This window comes from Homo sapiens, chromosome 11 (genome assembly GCF_000001405.40).
Source record: "Homo sapiens chromosome 11, GRCh38.p14 Primary Assembly".
In the NCBI taxonomy this organism is placed as follows: domain Eukaryota; kingdom Metazoa; phylum Chordata; class Mammalia; order Primates; family Hominidae; genus Homo; species Homo sapiens.
The window spans coordinates 58,025,413-58,039,740 of NC_000011.10; the positions used below are offsets into that span (position 1 = coordinate 58,025,413).

Below are 14,328 nucleotides of genomic sequence, written 5' to 3' on the forward strand. Positions count from 1 at the left end.
GATGGTCTTGATTTCTTGACCTTGTGATCCGCCCGCTCAGCCTCCCAAGGTGTTGGGATTGCAGGCGTGAGCCACTGCGCCCGGCCTCCTTTCTCCCTTTTTGGAGAGAAGCTCATCTTCCTACCAACACATGACCCGAAGACGTGTTGGGGCAGGGGGGAAGAGGAGTAGAATTTGGATGCTCTGGAACTCTCGCTCAGAAAGAGTTTCTCATTAGACTTGTCTCTGATGACTTCAATGATTCCATCAGATATTCATTCCGTTGGGTTAGGCATTGCCTCCCATCTAGGTTGCTTTCATTTGATTTCAGTTAGAAGGTGGTGGAGCTGAGATTTGAAGGCATCAGGTGGTCTAATGCCTGAATGTAGCCTTAACCACTGTGCTCTCCTGACTCTCTCCGTGGACCTCACAACCTCTTCTAACAATTCCTCTGGGCATATTACCTACTTCCACCTGTCTCTCCCCTGGCTTGCTGGGGTGCCTCCCCCTCCCTCTACTGCACTTGGTTTTGTCAGTTAAGGATTGCCTTCTTTCCACCGTCCCCCACCCTCAGTGTGATTTAATTGGGAAATTGTTTCTTGATCTTACCTGTCCTGTCTTCCTTGTATGCCAACTTCACTGCCCCCTACTTTGTTCTACCAGACACATTGCAATTAGCTCATCACATCTCTGTTCTAACCCTTGAGTACTTCTCTATCTTTCCTAAAAGACACAGTTCTTAAAAGGCAGGACTTGCAACTCATTTTGGGTTAGAGGCCTGATGCCTGGTACCATGCCTAGAACTCAGGGTCTCCTTGATGAATGCTTGAATGAGGAACTGGCAGGCATAGAACTGTGAGTAAACCACTTCACTGAGTTAACAAATTAATAGGTTCAAAAATTTCCAGGAGTTAGATAGTTGTGAAATTCTGTCTCTCAACCTTTTTATTTTTTCCCAACTTTTATATTCAATGGTACATGTGCAGGCTTGTTAAAAATATGGAACATGGCTGGGCATGGTGGCTCATGCCTGTAATCCCAGCACTGTGGGAGGTCGAGGTGAGTGGATCATTTGAGGTCAGGAGTTCGAGACCAGCCTGGCCAATATGGTGAAACCGTGTCTCTATTAAAAATACAAAAATTAGCTGGATATGGTGATGCGTGCCTGAAATCCCAGCTACTTGGGAGGCTGAGGGAGGAGAATCACTTGAACCTAGGAGGCGGAGGTTGCAGTGAGCCGAGATTGCACCACTGCACTCCAGCCTGGGCAACAAAGCAAGACTCTGTAACCAAAAAAAAAAAAAAAAAAAAAAAAAAGATATGGAATGCTTCACAAATTTGTGTGTCATTCTTGTTCAGGGGCCATGCTAATCTTCTCCGTGTCATTCCAATTTTAGTATATATGATGCCGAAGTGAGTACTATCTTAATCTTTTTAATGAATCAGTGTGAATTAATATACACTAGAGAAAGAAGTAATGAGACATTTAAAAATTATTTTATTCTTTTAACTCTTTGAATGTTGTTCTCCATATATCAATCCAATCTATTTGACAACTTGAATTCATTTCTTGAGTCTCTCAAAGAATGCAATTTGGTGTCAGGCAGTAGAGGAAGAACTGATGGCGATTCAAGCATTTTTCTAGAATCATTCAGTTTAGATTTTGGGTTTCTGATTTGGAATTCAAGAAAAGCTTCCCTTGCAGTTTGTTAATTAGCATTAGGGTAGGGGGAGCAGTAAGGACTCACTGGGCTTCTGTGCAGGTGCAATTGCCCACGCATGCCCAACCAAACCCTGGGTATCAGTTGTCCCCCGTCTCCCATTTCTCTGCAGAACAAGAGACAACAGATAATTTGAGGACAGTTTGGCTGCTTGGTGGTGGCAGAGGTGGTATGTGTGTCCATAAAGTAGGGTAACTACTGCTTGACACAGTAAAGTGGTGTTCTTTTTCGCTCATGTAACAGTCCTGTGTGAGTCTAGGGCAGGGATTGGCAAATTACAGCCCATGGTCCAAATCCAGCTTGTAGCCTGTTTGTGTATGGACCATGAGCTAAGAAAGGGTTTTACGTTTTAAAGAGTTGCAAAAACAAACAAAATAAACCCACAGAGAAGAATATGTGGCGGAAACTGCCTGTGGCTCATAAAGCTTAAACTATTTAAATCTGATCCTTTACAGAAAATATTGGGTAATCCCTGCTCCAGGAAGAAGTGAGTCGTTTTCTTCAGGGATCTAGGATCCTGCCAGCTGTTGGCTCTATGATGGGGAAAGAGATAGTGGGGAAACTGCTCCTGCTTCTTAAAAAAATCTCAGCCCACAGGTGAAATGCCTCATTGCCTAGATGCAAGGGGATAAAAAGCCGTCGGCTGTCCCTCTCTCCTTCTCTCTTATATCCTACTTCTTTACCCCTCCTTCAGCTTTTGAGAAACAAGAGCAGATCCTTTCAATGTAGCTAATCTGGGCCTGATACAAAGGCCACAGGTTCTGGCACTCTCTCTCTAAGCCATGGATCAGAGAGCTGAAAGTATTAAAAAATAATACCTGCTCTGTACCAGGCCCCAGGGTGGATGTCGGGGGGGCATCTGTACCAGGCCCCAGGGTGGATGCTGGGGCACCTGCTCTGTACCAGGCCCTGAGATAGATGCTTGTGGCCCTTGCTTTGTACCAGGCCCTGGGGCAGATGGTGGGAGAATCTGCTCTGTGCCAGGCCCCATGGTGATGCTGGAGAAACCTGGTCTGTACCAGGCCCCAGGGTGGATGCTGGGGGCACCTGCTCTGCATCAGGCCTCAGGATGGATGTTGGGGGTACCTGCTTTGTACCAGACCCTGGGGTAGATGCTGGGGGCATCTGTACCCTCCACCGTGGTTCCTAGGTCAGAGCAGGTGCCCTCTGCATTTGTTTGCTTGACCTGCATACAAGTTTGGAGGAATGAGATAAGGAAAAAGCCTTCCTAGTGAAGACAGGACTATCAAACCTGAGTCACAGATGAAAGGACAGGTAAGATTTAGAAAAATAGTAAGAATTTATAGATGACACAAGAGAGCTAGTAAATTGCAGACCCAGGGCTTGATCCCAGAGCTGTTTGACTCTAAATCTCATCCTCTCCATGACTATGAAAAATAATGAATTTTTCAGAGAATTTGACTGTGAAACTGTCTAACACCGTAAGTCAAGTCAAACTTCTAGAGCATCTGTGTGCAGTATCTCCACTGGGAAGGGTGATCATTGTTTGGAGGCTGCTACATTGTAAGTGAGGTTGCAAACGAGATAAATGGGTGGAAATTGCATCCTGAAATTTCCTTGAGCCAACAGAAGCATGAAGTGTCTGGGGCTGCAATGCAATTATGTGAGAGGAAGCCAATGTTTATAGACTTCCCACTGTGGGGATGTTAGGCATGGCGAAGACGCACGCAGAAATCTGAAAACTTTGGACTTGTTTATTTCTGATTTTTTATCTCTACATGCTTTCATTGCCAGGAATTCTGAAGCCAGAAGGAACTTGCTAATTATTTATAGGGGAAAGAGCAAGGGCTTTAGACCTTGGCAAACCTGGATTCAAATTCCAGTTCAGGAATCTGTGACTGTAGCAAAACACTATTTCTTTTTCTCCAAAGGGTCAGAAATAGTGAATAATTTGCCCAAGTTACACAACTAGGGTATAACTGCTTTATTTATGTTACTGCATAACAAAGCAGCCTAAAACTTAGTGGTTTAAACAGCAATCAGTTATTTAGCTCACAGATTTTTAATTTGGGGAGGGCTCAGAAGGGAAGGCTGGTGTCAGCTTGGCCAGCTCAACTGGGGGCTGAATGATCTATTTCTCAGACAGCTTATTCATCCGGCTGGTACGCTGCTGCTGGCTGTCAGTGGAAGCTTGGCCAGGCTGAGGCCTGAGGGACTTAGTTCCTCTCCACCTAGGCCTTTCCACAGGCTGGATAGGCTTCCTCACACTACTGTCACTGGGTTTCAAGAAGCAAGAAGAGGAAACTGGGGTTTCCAAGTCCCGGGCCTGGAACCTGGCACAGCATCACTTCCCCCTTATTCTGTTGTTAAGCAGTCACAGAACCCAGATTCAATGGGAATAGCCATAGACCTCACTTTTGGATGGGAAGAGTGTTCAAGAATTTGGGGCTGTATTTTAAAACTGGCACAAAAATGGAGATATTATATTTTCTCATTTAATTCTAAAATGAGATAGGAAGTAATCTCTTTGGAACTCTTGTATTATCTGTTTTTTAAAAAATGGGATTATTTAGTGATTCACTCATGGTCACATATTTCAAGTTGATATTGGAGCTTAAATTCAAACCCAGTGTGGATTCAAACCCAATTATGTTGATTCTATCTCTTAATAGTCATATTCAGTCTCCTACTGGCATTTCTGCAGTTAAAGTCACCATCACTCCATGCTATACTTGCAACAACCTCCTAACCCAGCCTTCCTGCCTCCTCCTTTTTTTTTTTTTTTTGACATTAAGTCTTGCTCTGTTGCCCAGGCTAGAGTGCAGTGGCATAATCTCAGCTCACTGCAACCTCTGCCTCCTGGATTCAAGTGATTCTCCTGCCTCAGCCTCTTGAGTAGCTGGGATTACAGGTGCCCACCACCACGCTGGGCTAACTTTTGTACTTTTAATAGAGACAGGGTTTCACAATGTTGGCCAGGCTGATCTTGAACACCCAACCTCAGGTGAGCTGCCTGCCTTAGACTCCCAAAGTGCTGGGATTACACATATGAGCCACCGGGCCCGGCCTCTGGCTCTTATCTTGTTCCCCTCCAAACCTGCCCCTTCTAAGGGGTAAAAAGAATAGCATTGCTTCTCTGCTTATAATTCTTAAAGTCTCCCTGTGACCTTTAGACTGAAGCTCAGCTTTTTCCTTTCCCTTAATTTGGTTGCTAGCCCTTCATGGTGTCCCAGCCTACTCCTCAGGCTCAGAAACAGTCATTTTCTCTCTGTATCTTATTCCAGGAGATGTCAACATGTAGATTTCCCCCTTGACATTTATTGACTCAAACATGATGCTAAGTGCTTTACAGGAATTATCTAACTTACATTTTCACAACAAATCTGTTAGGTTCTCTTTTATTTGAATCTAGGTATGCTTGCTTGGGAAATCAAGCTCTTGAACTCCATGGTAAACTGTCTCTACTTGAAGTTTCCCCAATGCACAATCTCCTCTCTGATGTCTGGAATTTTATACTTGTGATGTCTTCTCTCTATCTCTACCTTTTGTCTCACTAACTTATACTTCCTTTTCAGGTTCAGCTATAGACAGTCTTCCCTCCAGGAAGATTTCTCAAGACTGGTTGAGCTTCCCTGATATTTCTGCTCATAGTATCCTGCCTTATTCTTAGCCAGTGCATTTCATTTTGTACTAATATTATTTGTTTTCTCATGTCCCTCATGAACTGTGAATTCTTTGAGGGTAAGAACAGTGTGTTGACATCATGTTTCTCTTCTGAAGTGAAAGGCATTTTAGTACAACATCCTCCAACCTCACAGGTTCTCTTTGAGCTCTCATTGTCTATGAGGCTATGAGTTTGCTGAGCTCTCACTGCCACATATGCAACCATATACCAAAAACTGGACCCAGGTAACTGAATTTGTCATGATGGGCTTTGCTGGCATCCATGAAGCACACCTCCTCTTCTTCATACTCTTCCTCACCATGTACCTGTTCACCTTGGTGGAGAATTTGGCCATCATTTTAGTGGTGGGTTTGGACCACCGACTACGGAGACCCATGTATTTCTTCCTGACACACTTGTCCTGCCTTGAAATCTGGTACACTTCTGTTACAGTGCCCAAGATGCTGGCTGGTTTTATTGGGGTGGATGGTGGCAAGAATATCTCTTATGCTGATTGCCTATCCCAGCTCTTCATCTTCACCTTTCTTGGGGCAACTGAGTGTTTCCTACTGGCTGCCATGGCCTATGATCGTTATGTGGCCATTTGTATGCCTCTCCACTATGGGGCTTTTGTGTCCTGGGGCACCTGCATCCGTCTGGCAGCTGCCTGTTGGCTGGTAGGTTTCCTCACACCCATCTTGCCAATCTACCTCTTGTCTCAGCTAACATTTTATGGCCCAAATGTCATTGACCATTTCTCCTGTGATGCCTCACCCTTGCTAGCCTTGTCGTGCTCAGATGTCACTTGGAAGGAGACTGTGGATTTCCTGGTGTCTCTGGCTGTGCTACTGGCCTCCTCTATGGTCATTGCTGTGTCCTATGGCAACATCGTCTGGACACTGCTGCACATCCGCTCAGCTGCTGAGCGCTGGAAGGCCTTCTCTACCTGTGCAGCTCACCTGACTGTGGTGAGCCTCTTCTATGGCACTCTTTTCTTTATGTATGTCCAGACCAAGGTGACCTCCTCCATCAACTTCAACAAGGTGGTATCTGTCTTCTACTCTGTTGTCACGCCCATGCTCAATCCTCTCATCTACAGTCTTAGGAACAAGGAAGTGAAGGGAGCTCTGGGTCGAGTCTTTTCTCTCAACTTTTGGAAGGGACAGTGAGGAGGCAGGTGGGAACCCAGTTTCCTTGCCTTGGATATTTAAAAACAGGTTAGTCAATAACATTTAAGCTGAGACCAAATCAAGAATGCAGTTCCATTTATAACAGCCACAAAAAATACAATACCTAGGAATACAACTAACCAAGGAAGTGAAAGATATTTATAAGGGGAACCACAAAACACTGCTAAAAGAAATCAGAGATGACACAAACAAATGAAAAAACATCCCATGCTCACAGATTGGAAGAATCAATATCATTAAAATGGTCACACTGCCCAAAGCAATCCGCAGATTCAATGCTATTCCTATCAAACTATCAATGTCATTTTTCACAGAATTAGAAAAAACAATTCTAAAATTCATATGAAAGCAAAAAAGGAGCCCAAATTGCCAAAGCAATCCTAAGCAAAAAAAACCAAAAAAATAAATCTGGAGGCATTATATTATCTGACTTAAAACTATACTATAAGGCTACAGTAACCAAAACAGCATGGTGCTAGTACAGAAACAGACACATAGACCAATGGGACAGAATAGAAAACCCAGAAATAAAACTGTACATTGCTACCAACTGATCTTTGAAAAAGCTGACAAAAATAAGCAATGGAGAAAAGATTCCCTACTCAATAAATGGTGCTGGGAAAACTGGCTAGCCATATGCAGAAGACTGAAACTGAACCTCTACTTATCACCATATTCAAAAATTAAGATGGATTAAAGACTTAAATATAAGACCTCAAACTATAAAAAAATCCTGGAAGAAGACCTAGGAAATACCCTTCTGGACATTGGTCTTGGGAAAGAATTTATTACTAAGTTCTCAAAAGCAATTGCAATGAAAACAAAAATTAACAAGTGGGACTTAATTAAATAGCTTCTGCACAGTAAAATAAACTGTTGACATGACAAACAGGTAAACTACCAAATAAAAGAAAATATTCGCAAACTATGCATCTGACAAAGGTTTAATATCCAGAATCTATAAGGGACTTAAATCAACAAGAAAAAAACAATTAATCCCATTAAAAAGTGGGTAGAGGACATGAACAGACACTTATCAAAAGAAGATATCCAAGTTGTAAACAACCATATGAAAAAATTCTCATCATCACTAACCATCAGAGAAGTGCAAATGAAAACATAATGAGATATCATCTCATGCCAGTTAGAATGGCTATTATCAAAGAGTCAAAAAATAACAGATGTTGGAGAGGTTGCAGAGAAAAGGGAATGCTTATGCACTGTTGGTGAGAGTGCAAATTAGTTCAGCCACATGGAAAGCAGTTTGAAGATTTCTCAAAGAATGAAAAATAGAACTGCTATTCAAGCCAGCAATCCCATTACTAGGTATATACTCAAAGTAAAATAATCGTTCTATCAAAATGACACATGCACTTGTATGTTCATCATGACACTATTTGCAATAACAAAGAGATGGAATCAGTCTAGGTGTCTATCAATGGTAGATTGGATAAAGAAAATGCAATACATATACACCATGGAATACTATGCAGACATGAAAAAGAATGAAATTGTATTATATGCAGCAACATGGATGTAGTGGGAGGCCATTATCCTAAGCAAATTAATGCAGAAACTGAAAATCAAATATTTTGTTTTCTCACTTGTAAGTAGGAGCTAAATCTTGGGTACACATGAACATAAAGATGGGAATAAGAGATACTGGGGACCTCAAAAGGAGGGAGAGAGGGGAGGGGGCAATGGCTGAAAAACTGCCTGTTGGGTACTATGTTCCCATCTAGGTGACAGAATGAATAGAGTCCAAACCTTACCATCCCACAATATATCCTTGTGACAAATCTGCACATGTACCCCCTGAATCTAAAATAAAAATGGAAATTAAAAAAATAAAAGGACAGTGGTGAGGACTATGGAAGGGAGCTATGGTCTGAATAGTCAGGAGTTATGGACTATATATTAGATAAAGTAAAATGCTAAGTCTCTATAACAAGAGAGACTTAACTATAGTGTAGCTTAAAGAATGAAGGAGATTTTCTTTTTCTGGCAAGAGTCCACAGTGAGTGTTCCAGCCTGGTGGTGGCTCTGTTCAACTTTAAGGATGCAAGTTTATTCTATCTTGCAGGATCAACATCCCCTAGGATGTTGGCTAAGAAAGTTCTGCTGGCCAAATCCAGCTCAGCACTTGCTTTTTTTTTTTTTTTTTTTTTTTTTTAGACAGAGTCTTGCTCTGTCGGCCAGGCTAGAGGGAGTGCGGTGGCGTGATCTCGGCTCACTGCAAGCTCCGCCTCCCAGGTTCATGCCATTCTCCTGCTTCAGTCTCCCGAGTAGCTAGGACTACAGGGGCCCGCCACCATGCCTGGCTAATTTTTTTTATATTTTTAGTAGAAATGAGGCTTCACCGTATTAGCCAGGATGGTCTCGATCTTCTGACCTCGTGATCTGCCCACCTCGGCCTCCCAAAGTGCTGGGATTACAGGCTTGAGCCACTGCACCCGGCCAGCACTTGCTTTTTTAATTGCCTGTGAACTAATAATGATTTTTACATTTTTAAATGGTTGAAGACAAATTGAAAGAAGAATAATATTTCATGACACACAAACATTTGAATTTTATAAAATTCAAATTTCAGCGCCCATAAATCAAGCTTAATTAGAACATAGTCACACCTATATGTATCATCGGTGGTTGCTTTTGTGCTACAATGGCAGTAGTTGTGGCAGAAACCATTTGCCAACCCTTGTCTAGAGCCTTCTTGTTATTTACATGGTCAATACTGGGTCCCAGTGGGAAAGAAGGGTGAAGATAGAGCATGGAGGAGACACACTGTCTGTCTTAAGGTTTCTTTCTTTCCTTCCTTCCTTCCTTCCTTCCTTCCTTCCTTCTTCCTTCCCTCCCTCCTTTCTCCCTTCCTTCCTTCCTTCCTTCCTTCCTTCCTTGCTTCCTTCCTTCATTTTTTTTTTTTAGGGTCTCACTCTGTCACCCAGGCTGGAGTGTGGTGGTGCGATCTTGGCTCATTGCAACCTCCACCTCTTGGACTTAGGTAATCCTGCCACCTCGGCCTCCTGAGTAGCTGGGACTACAGGTGCACAGCATCAAACCTGGCTAATTTTTAAATTTCTTGTAGAGATGGGTTTCGCCAGGTTATTTTCCAGGCTGATCTCAAACTCCTGGGCTCAAGCGATCTGCCACCTTGGCCTCCCAAAGTATTGGGACTACAGGAATGAATTAAGATTTCTTGATTAGATGTAGCAGTCATCACTTCCTCTCACCTCTTTGGTGAGAAGTGAGCCTTAGGTCAAATCTAATTGCAAGGGTAGTAAAAATAGTCCATAGTTAGGTAGCCAGATGCCCAGTCACCATTTAATTATTGCAGAAAAAGAAAAAAAACAAATTGTGGTAGACAATCCACAGTTTTTGGCACAAACTAAGTCCCCAGAATAAAAGCTGATTTTTCATGTGGTCCATGCACTTAATCATTTTTTGTATCTATATTTGCTTATTTGATATATAGACTGCTCCCCTATGTCAGTTGGTATTTTGGAAATTGAAGGAGCTCTTTATGGCAGTGTCAACTCTTTTGAAGTAAGGCTTAAAAAGACAATTATAATTCAGGTATTTCTTTACATGTAGGTAGATGCACTTAAAAAGACATTTATAATAATCATTTCAATGTGGATTCCAGAAACTATAGAATATGGAAGAGGAAAATGTTGAGCTTGGGACTGAATTGGGGGAAAGACATATTTTCCTTAGGGGCCAGTAATGAGCATATTGCAATATGGTGCCCCTCATTGTCACAGTCTCCCTGAATAGGGTCTGACCTATCGCATTTTCCAAAGTTAACAGGAAGGGCACATTTTGAAAATCATTTCATTTATTGACTATTGTATCAAGAATGTGCTTTAGATTCTTTTGGATGACAGCAAGATGCAAAAACAATGCAGAGGTGAGAACCTTTCCAGATCAAATATAATAATCCATGTGAATGAAATACAAGTAGTATATGAACATACTTTATTTTATTATGTTTTGTGTTATTGTGCTTCACTGGTACTGGTTTTTTTTTTTTTTTACAAATTGAAGATTTGTAGCAATTCTGTGTTAAGTCTATTAGTGCCATTTTTTCAATAGCATGTGCTCACTTTGCTTCTTTGTGTCACATTTTAGTAATTCTCGCAACATTTTAAACTTTACTGTTATTATTATATGTGTCATAATGATCTATGAGTAGTGATTTTTGATGTCACTATTGTCATTGTTTTGGGGAGCTATGAACTGTGCACATATAGGACAGTGAACTTAACTGATAAATATGTGTGTTCCGACTGCTTCACTGAGTAAACATTTTCCTGTCTCATGCTGTTTACAGCATGGTTTACTGAATATTTTCAGCCTACTATTGAGACCTACTGCTCGGGAAAGAATAGTTCTTCCAAAATATTACTGCTCATTGACAATGCACCTGATGACACGAGAGTTCTGATGGAAATGTACAAGGAGATTCATGTTGTTTTCATACCTCCTAACATAACATCCATTCCATAGCCCATGGTACAAGTAGTTTTTGATTTCAAGTCTTATTTAGGACATACATTTGGTAAGGCTATAGCTGCCATAGATAGTGATTTCTCTGATGGATCTGGACAAAGTAAATTCAAAATCTTCTGGAAAGGATTGATCATTCTAGGTGCCATTAAGAGCACTCATGACTCATGGGAGGAGGTCAAAATATCAACATGATCAGGAGTTTGGAATAAGTTGATTCCAACCCTTATGGATGACTTTGAGGGGTTCAAGACTTTAGTGGAGGAAGTAATGGCAGATGTGGTGGAAACATCAAGAGAATTAGAATTAGAAGTGGAGCCTGAAGATGTGACTGAATTGCTGCAATCTCATGACAAAACGAATGGATGAAGAGTTGCTTCTTATGGGTGAGCAAAGAAAGTAGTTTCTTGAGATGGACTCTACTCCTGGTGAAGATGCTGTGAACATTGTTGAAATTACAATAAAAGGATTTAGAATATTCCATAAACTTAGTTGATAAAACACCATCAGGGCTTGAAAGAATTGACTTGAATTTTAAAAGTTCTACTGTGGGTAAAATAGTGTTAATTAGCATCATGTGTTACAGAGAAATTTTTCACAAAAAGAAGAGTCAATCAATACAGCAAACTTCATTGTTGTCTTGTTTTAATAAAGCCACCTCAATCATCAGCAACCACCACCCTGATTGGACAGCAGCCATCGATATTGAGGCAAGTCCCTCTATAAGCAAAAAGATTAAGATTCTCTGAAGGCTCAGATTATTGTTAGCATTTTTTTTAGCAATAAAGTATTTTTAAAATTAAGGTATGTACATTTTCTTAGACATAATGCTATTGCACACTTAATAGACTACACTATAGTGTAAACATACTTTTGTATGCACTGGGAAACTAAAAATTTGTGTGAGAGCTTGCTTTATTCACTTATTTCTGTGATCTGAAACCAAACCCACAATATGTCTGGGGTATGCCTGTAGACTTTCAGGCACCTGACCTGAGTAGATATGAACACAAAATGAGTTAGACTTTTAGGTTTCCGAACAAAATGGAAAGATGAAAAGAAAGCAAAACATACTGGGTTATGTAGTTTTCATTTATTGTAGCAGAAAAAATTCAAATTCCAACACAGGGAATGTTTTCTGAATTTTGAGAACTACTCTAAGGATAACTATATGGGAAGTGTCAGTAAAGTTTACCATTTTGAGCTTCTTAAAGAATAACTATATATATATATATATATATATATATATATATATATTTTTTTTTTTTTTTTTTTTTTTTTTTTTTTTTTTTTTTTTTTTTTTGAGACGGAGTCTCACTCAGTCGCCCAGGCTGGGATGCAGTGGCGCGATCTCGGCTCACTGCAAGCTCTGCCTTCTGGGTTCATGCCATTCTCCTGCCTCAGCCTCCCGAGTAGCTGGGACTACAGGTGGCTGCCACCACGCCTGGCTAATTTTTTTTGTTTTTTTTTTTTTTTTTTAGTAGAGACGGGGTTTTACCATGTTAGCCAGGATGGTCTCGAACTCCTGACCTCATGATCCGCCTGCCTCGGCCTCCCAAAGTGCTGGGATTACAGGCATGAGCTACCGCGCCCGGCCAGAATAACTATATTTTTGAGATAAATTACATAAAACGGTAAAAAGTCTGATGCATACCCATAGAAAGGATCCTAAACATATTAACGTGAATATTGCTTTAATAAAACTTGATACAAGTAATGAAACTGGGAAAAACCCAGTTTTGTGAATGTGATTATTTACATTACAAATTAAAACAATAACTCCCTTAAAAACCAGTCCTACCTACAAGAATTTGAGGTGCATGATATGTGCAGGTATTGATAGCTAAATTTTTAAAGCCACTACTAATGGCAGATCAATCTGCAATGAGATAAGCTATACAATCATGTTGTAGGAAATGCACATTTTTGTAAATAGGGAGTTTCTAAAAATATAGTTTCTTCTTTGGGGATATATCTATTATAGAGTGAAACATTGTCATATGAAGGATTAACCTAGCATAGATACTACTCCACTGTTACTCAGAGAATGTCACAGGGAGTAATTCTGGACAAATAAGACTTATTAAGATGGAATTCAGTAAGGAGTGATGCTTGTCTTACTCTGACCATTCTGGGTATTAGGATACTGATTTGTTAGGTAGAAACTACCTGGTAACCACCCTTGGGAAGGTCCTTTGACTTGGGACTTGGTGAGAATGACTGGATCTACACTTTGAAATCAGAACCCTACAGTTTTCTGTGAGCCATTACATCACCATTGTCAAAAGCTCTGGTATAACTCTCCTTCACTGACATTCTTCTGGTCTCTCTTTTATGGCTCCATGTTTTTCTTGTCCCTTGTACCTGTGCTGGGATTTCTATTTCGTTTTTCAGGGTTCTTAGTCTTTTTAGTTAGTCTCTTATTTTTCCATTTTTACATGCCAAGTCCTTAGCAACTGATTTTTAGGGTGTGTCTGTCAAAATGTTGGCTTTGGCTGTGGAATGCTACAGCTTTGTTCCTCTAAATTGAATCTTCTTCTTTATTTTTAAATTATTTATTTATTTATTTATTTTGAGACAGGGTCTCACTCTGATGCCCAGGCTGGAGTGCAGTGGCACAATCTTGGCTCACTGCAATCTCTGCCTCCCAGTTTCAAGTGATTCTCCTGCCTCAGCCTCCCAAGTAACTGGGACTATAGAAGCACACCACCTCACCCACCTAATTTTTGTATTTTTAGTAGAGATGGGCTTTCACCATTTGGCCAGGCTGCTCTCAAACTTGTGACCTCAGGTGATCCACCCGCCTTGGCCTCCCCAAGTTCTGGGATTACTAGCGTGAGCCACTGCGCCCGGCCTAAATGGAATCTTCTTCATATCCTTGCTTTCTTTGGTGGCTTCATTCTCATTGGTTCCAATAACATCTTTGGCCAGCCTTGTCAAGGTAGGATTTTCAGCACCTTTTGGTAGGAACTTAAAATGAATCTCATTGCCCAGAAATGTGGTTGCCTTGATACGTTGAGATATTTTGTGTAACGAGAGTAAAGCTCTGTTTCTCCCCAGGGAGCAACCCAGGAGCACTTTCATTTAATCAGTTGATGCCCAGTATTTTGTGGGCTTCTTTAGCATCCTCACACTCTCATGGAAGTGGAGAGGCTTCCTTTAGAGCAGACTTTGCATAGGTGGTCACTTCACTGGGTCTGTGACAGTCACCTGTCCTCATTTACTCCAAGGCAAGCAGCTACAGGTTATTTACTTATAAAACAGTTTCACAATAGATATGTTTAGTCCACTCCACTCAGGTTAGGTT

At 41.1% G+C, this 14,328-nt stretch overlaps 2 protein-coding genes and 1 pseudogene across 2 annotated transcripts in view; 2 read left to right on the forward strand and 1 right to left on the reverse strand.

The window, feature by feature from the left end:
- OR9Q1 (olfactory receptor family 9 subfamily Q member 1) overlaps positions 1-14,328 on the forward strand; it is a 157,736-nt gene that overhangs the window by 1,532 nt on the left and 141,876 nt on the right. The gene's annotated exons all lie outside the window — the stretch shown is intronic.
- RNU6-899P (RNA, U6 small nuclear 899, pseudogene) lies at positions 1,294-1,400 on the reverse strand (annotated as a pseudogene).
- Positions 5,541-6,494, forward strand: OR6Q1 (olfactory receptor family 6 subfamily Q member 1). Its single transcript, NM_001005186.2, has one exon. It carries the CDS (start codon positions 5,541-5,543, stop codon positions 6,492-6,494), a length of 954 nt encoding a protein of 317 aa, NP_001005186.2.

What these genes read in the sequence shown, in the direction of transcription:
- OR6Q1 (NM_001005186.2), top strand. Translation starts at nt 5,541, where the DNA reads ATGCAACCATATACCAAAAACTGGACCCAGGTAACTGAATTTGTCATG.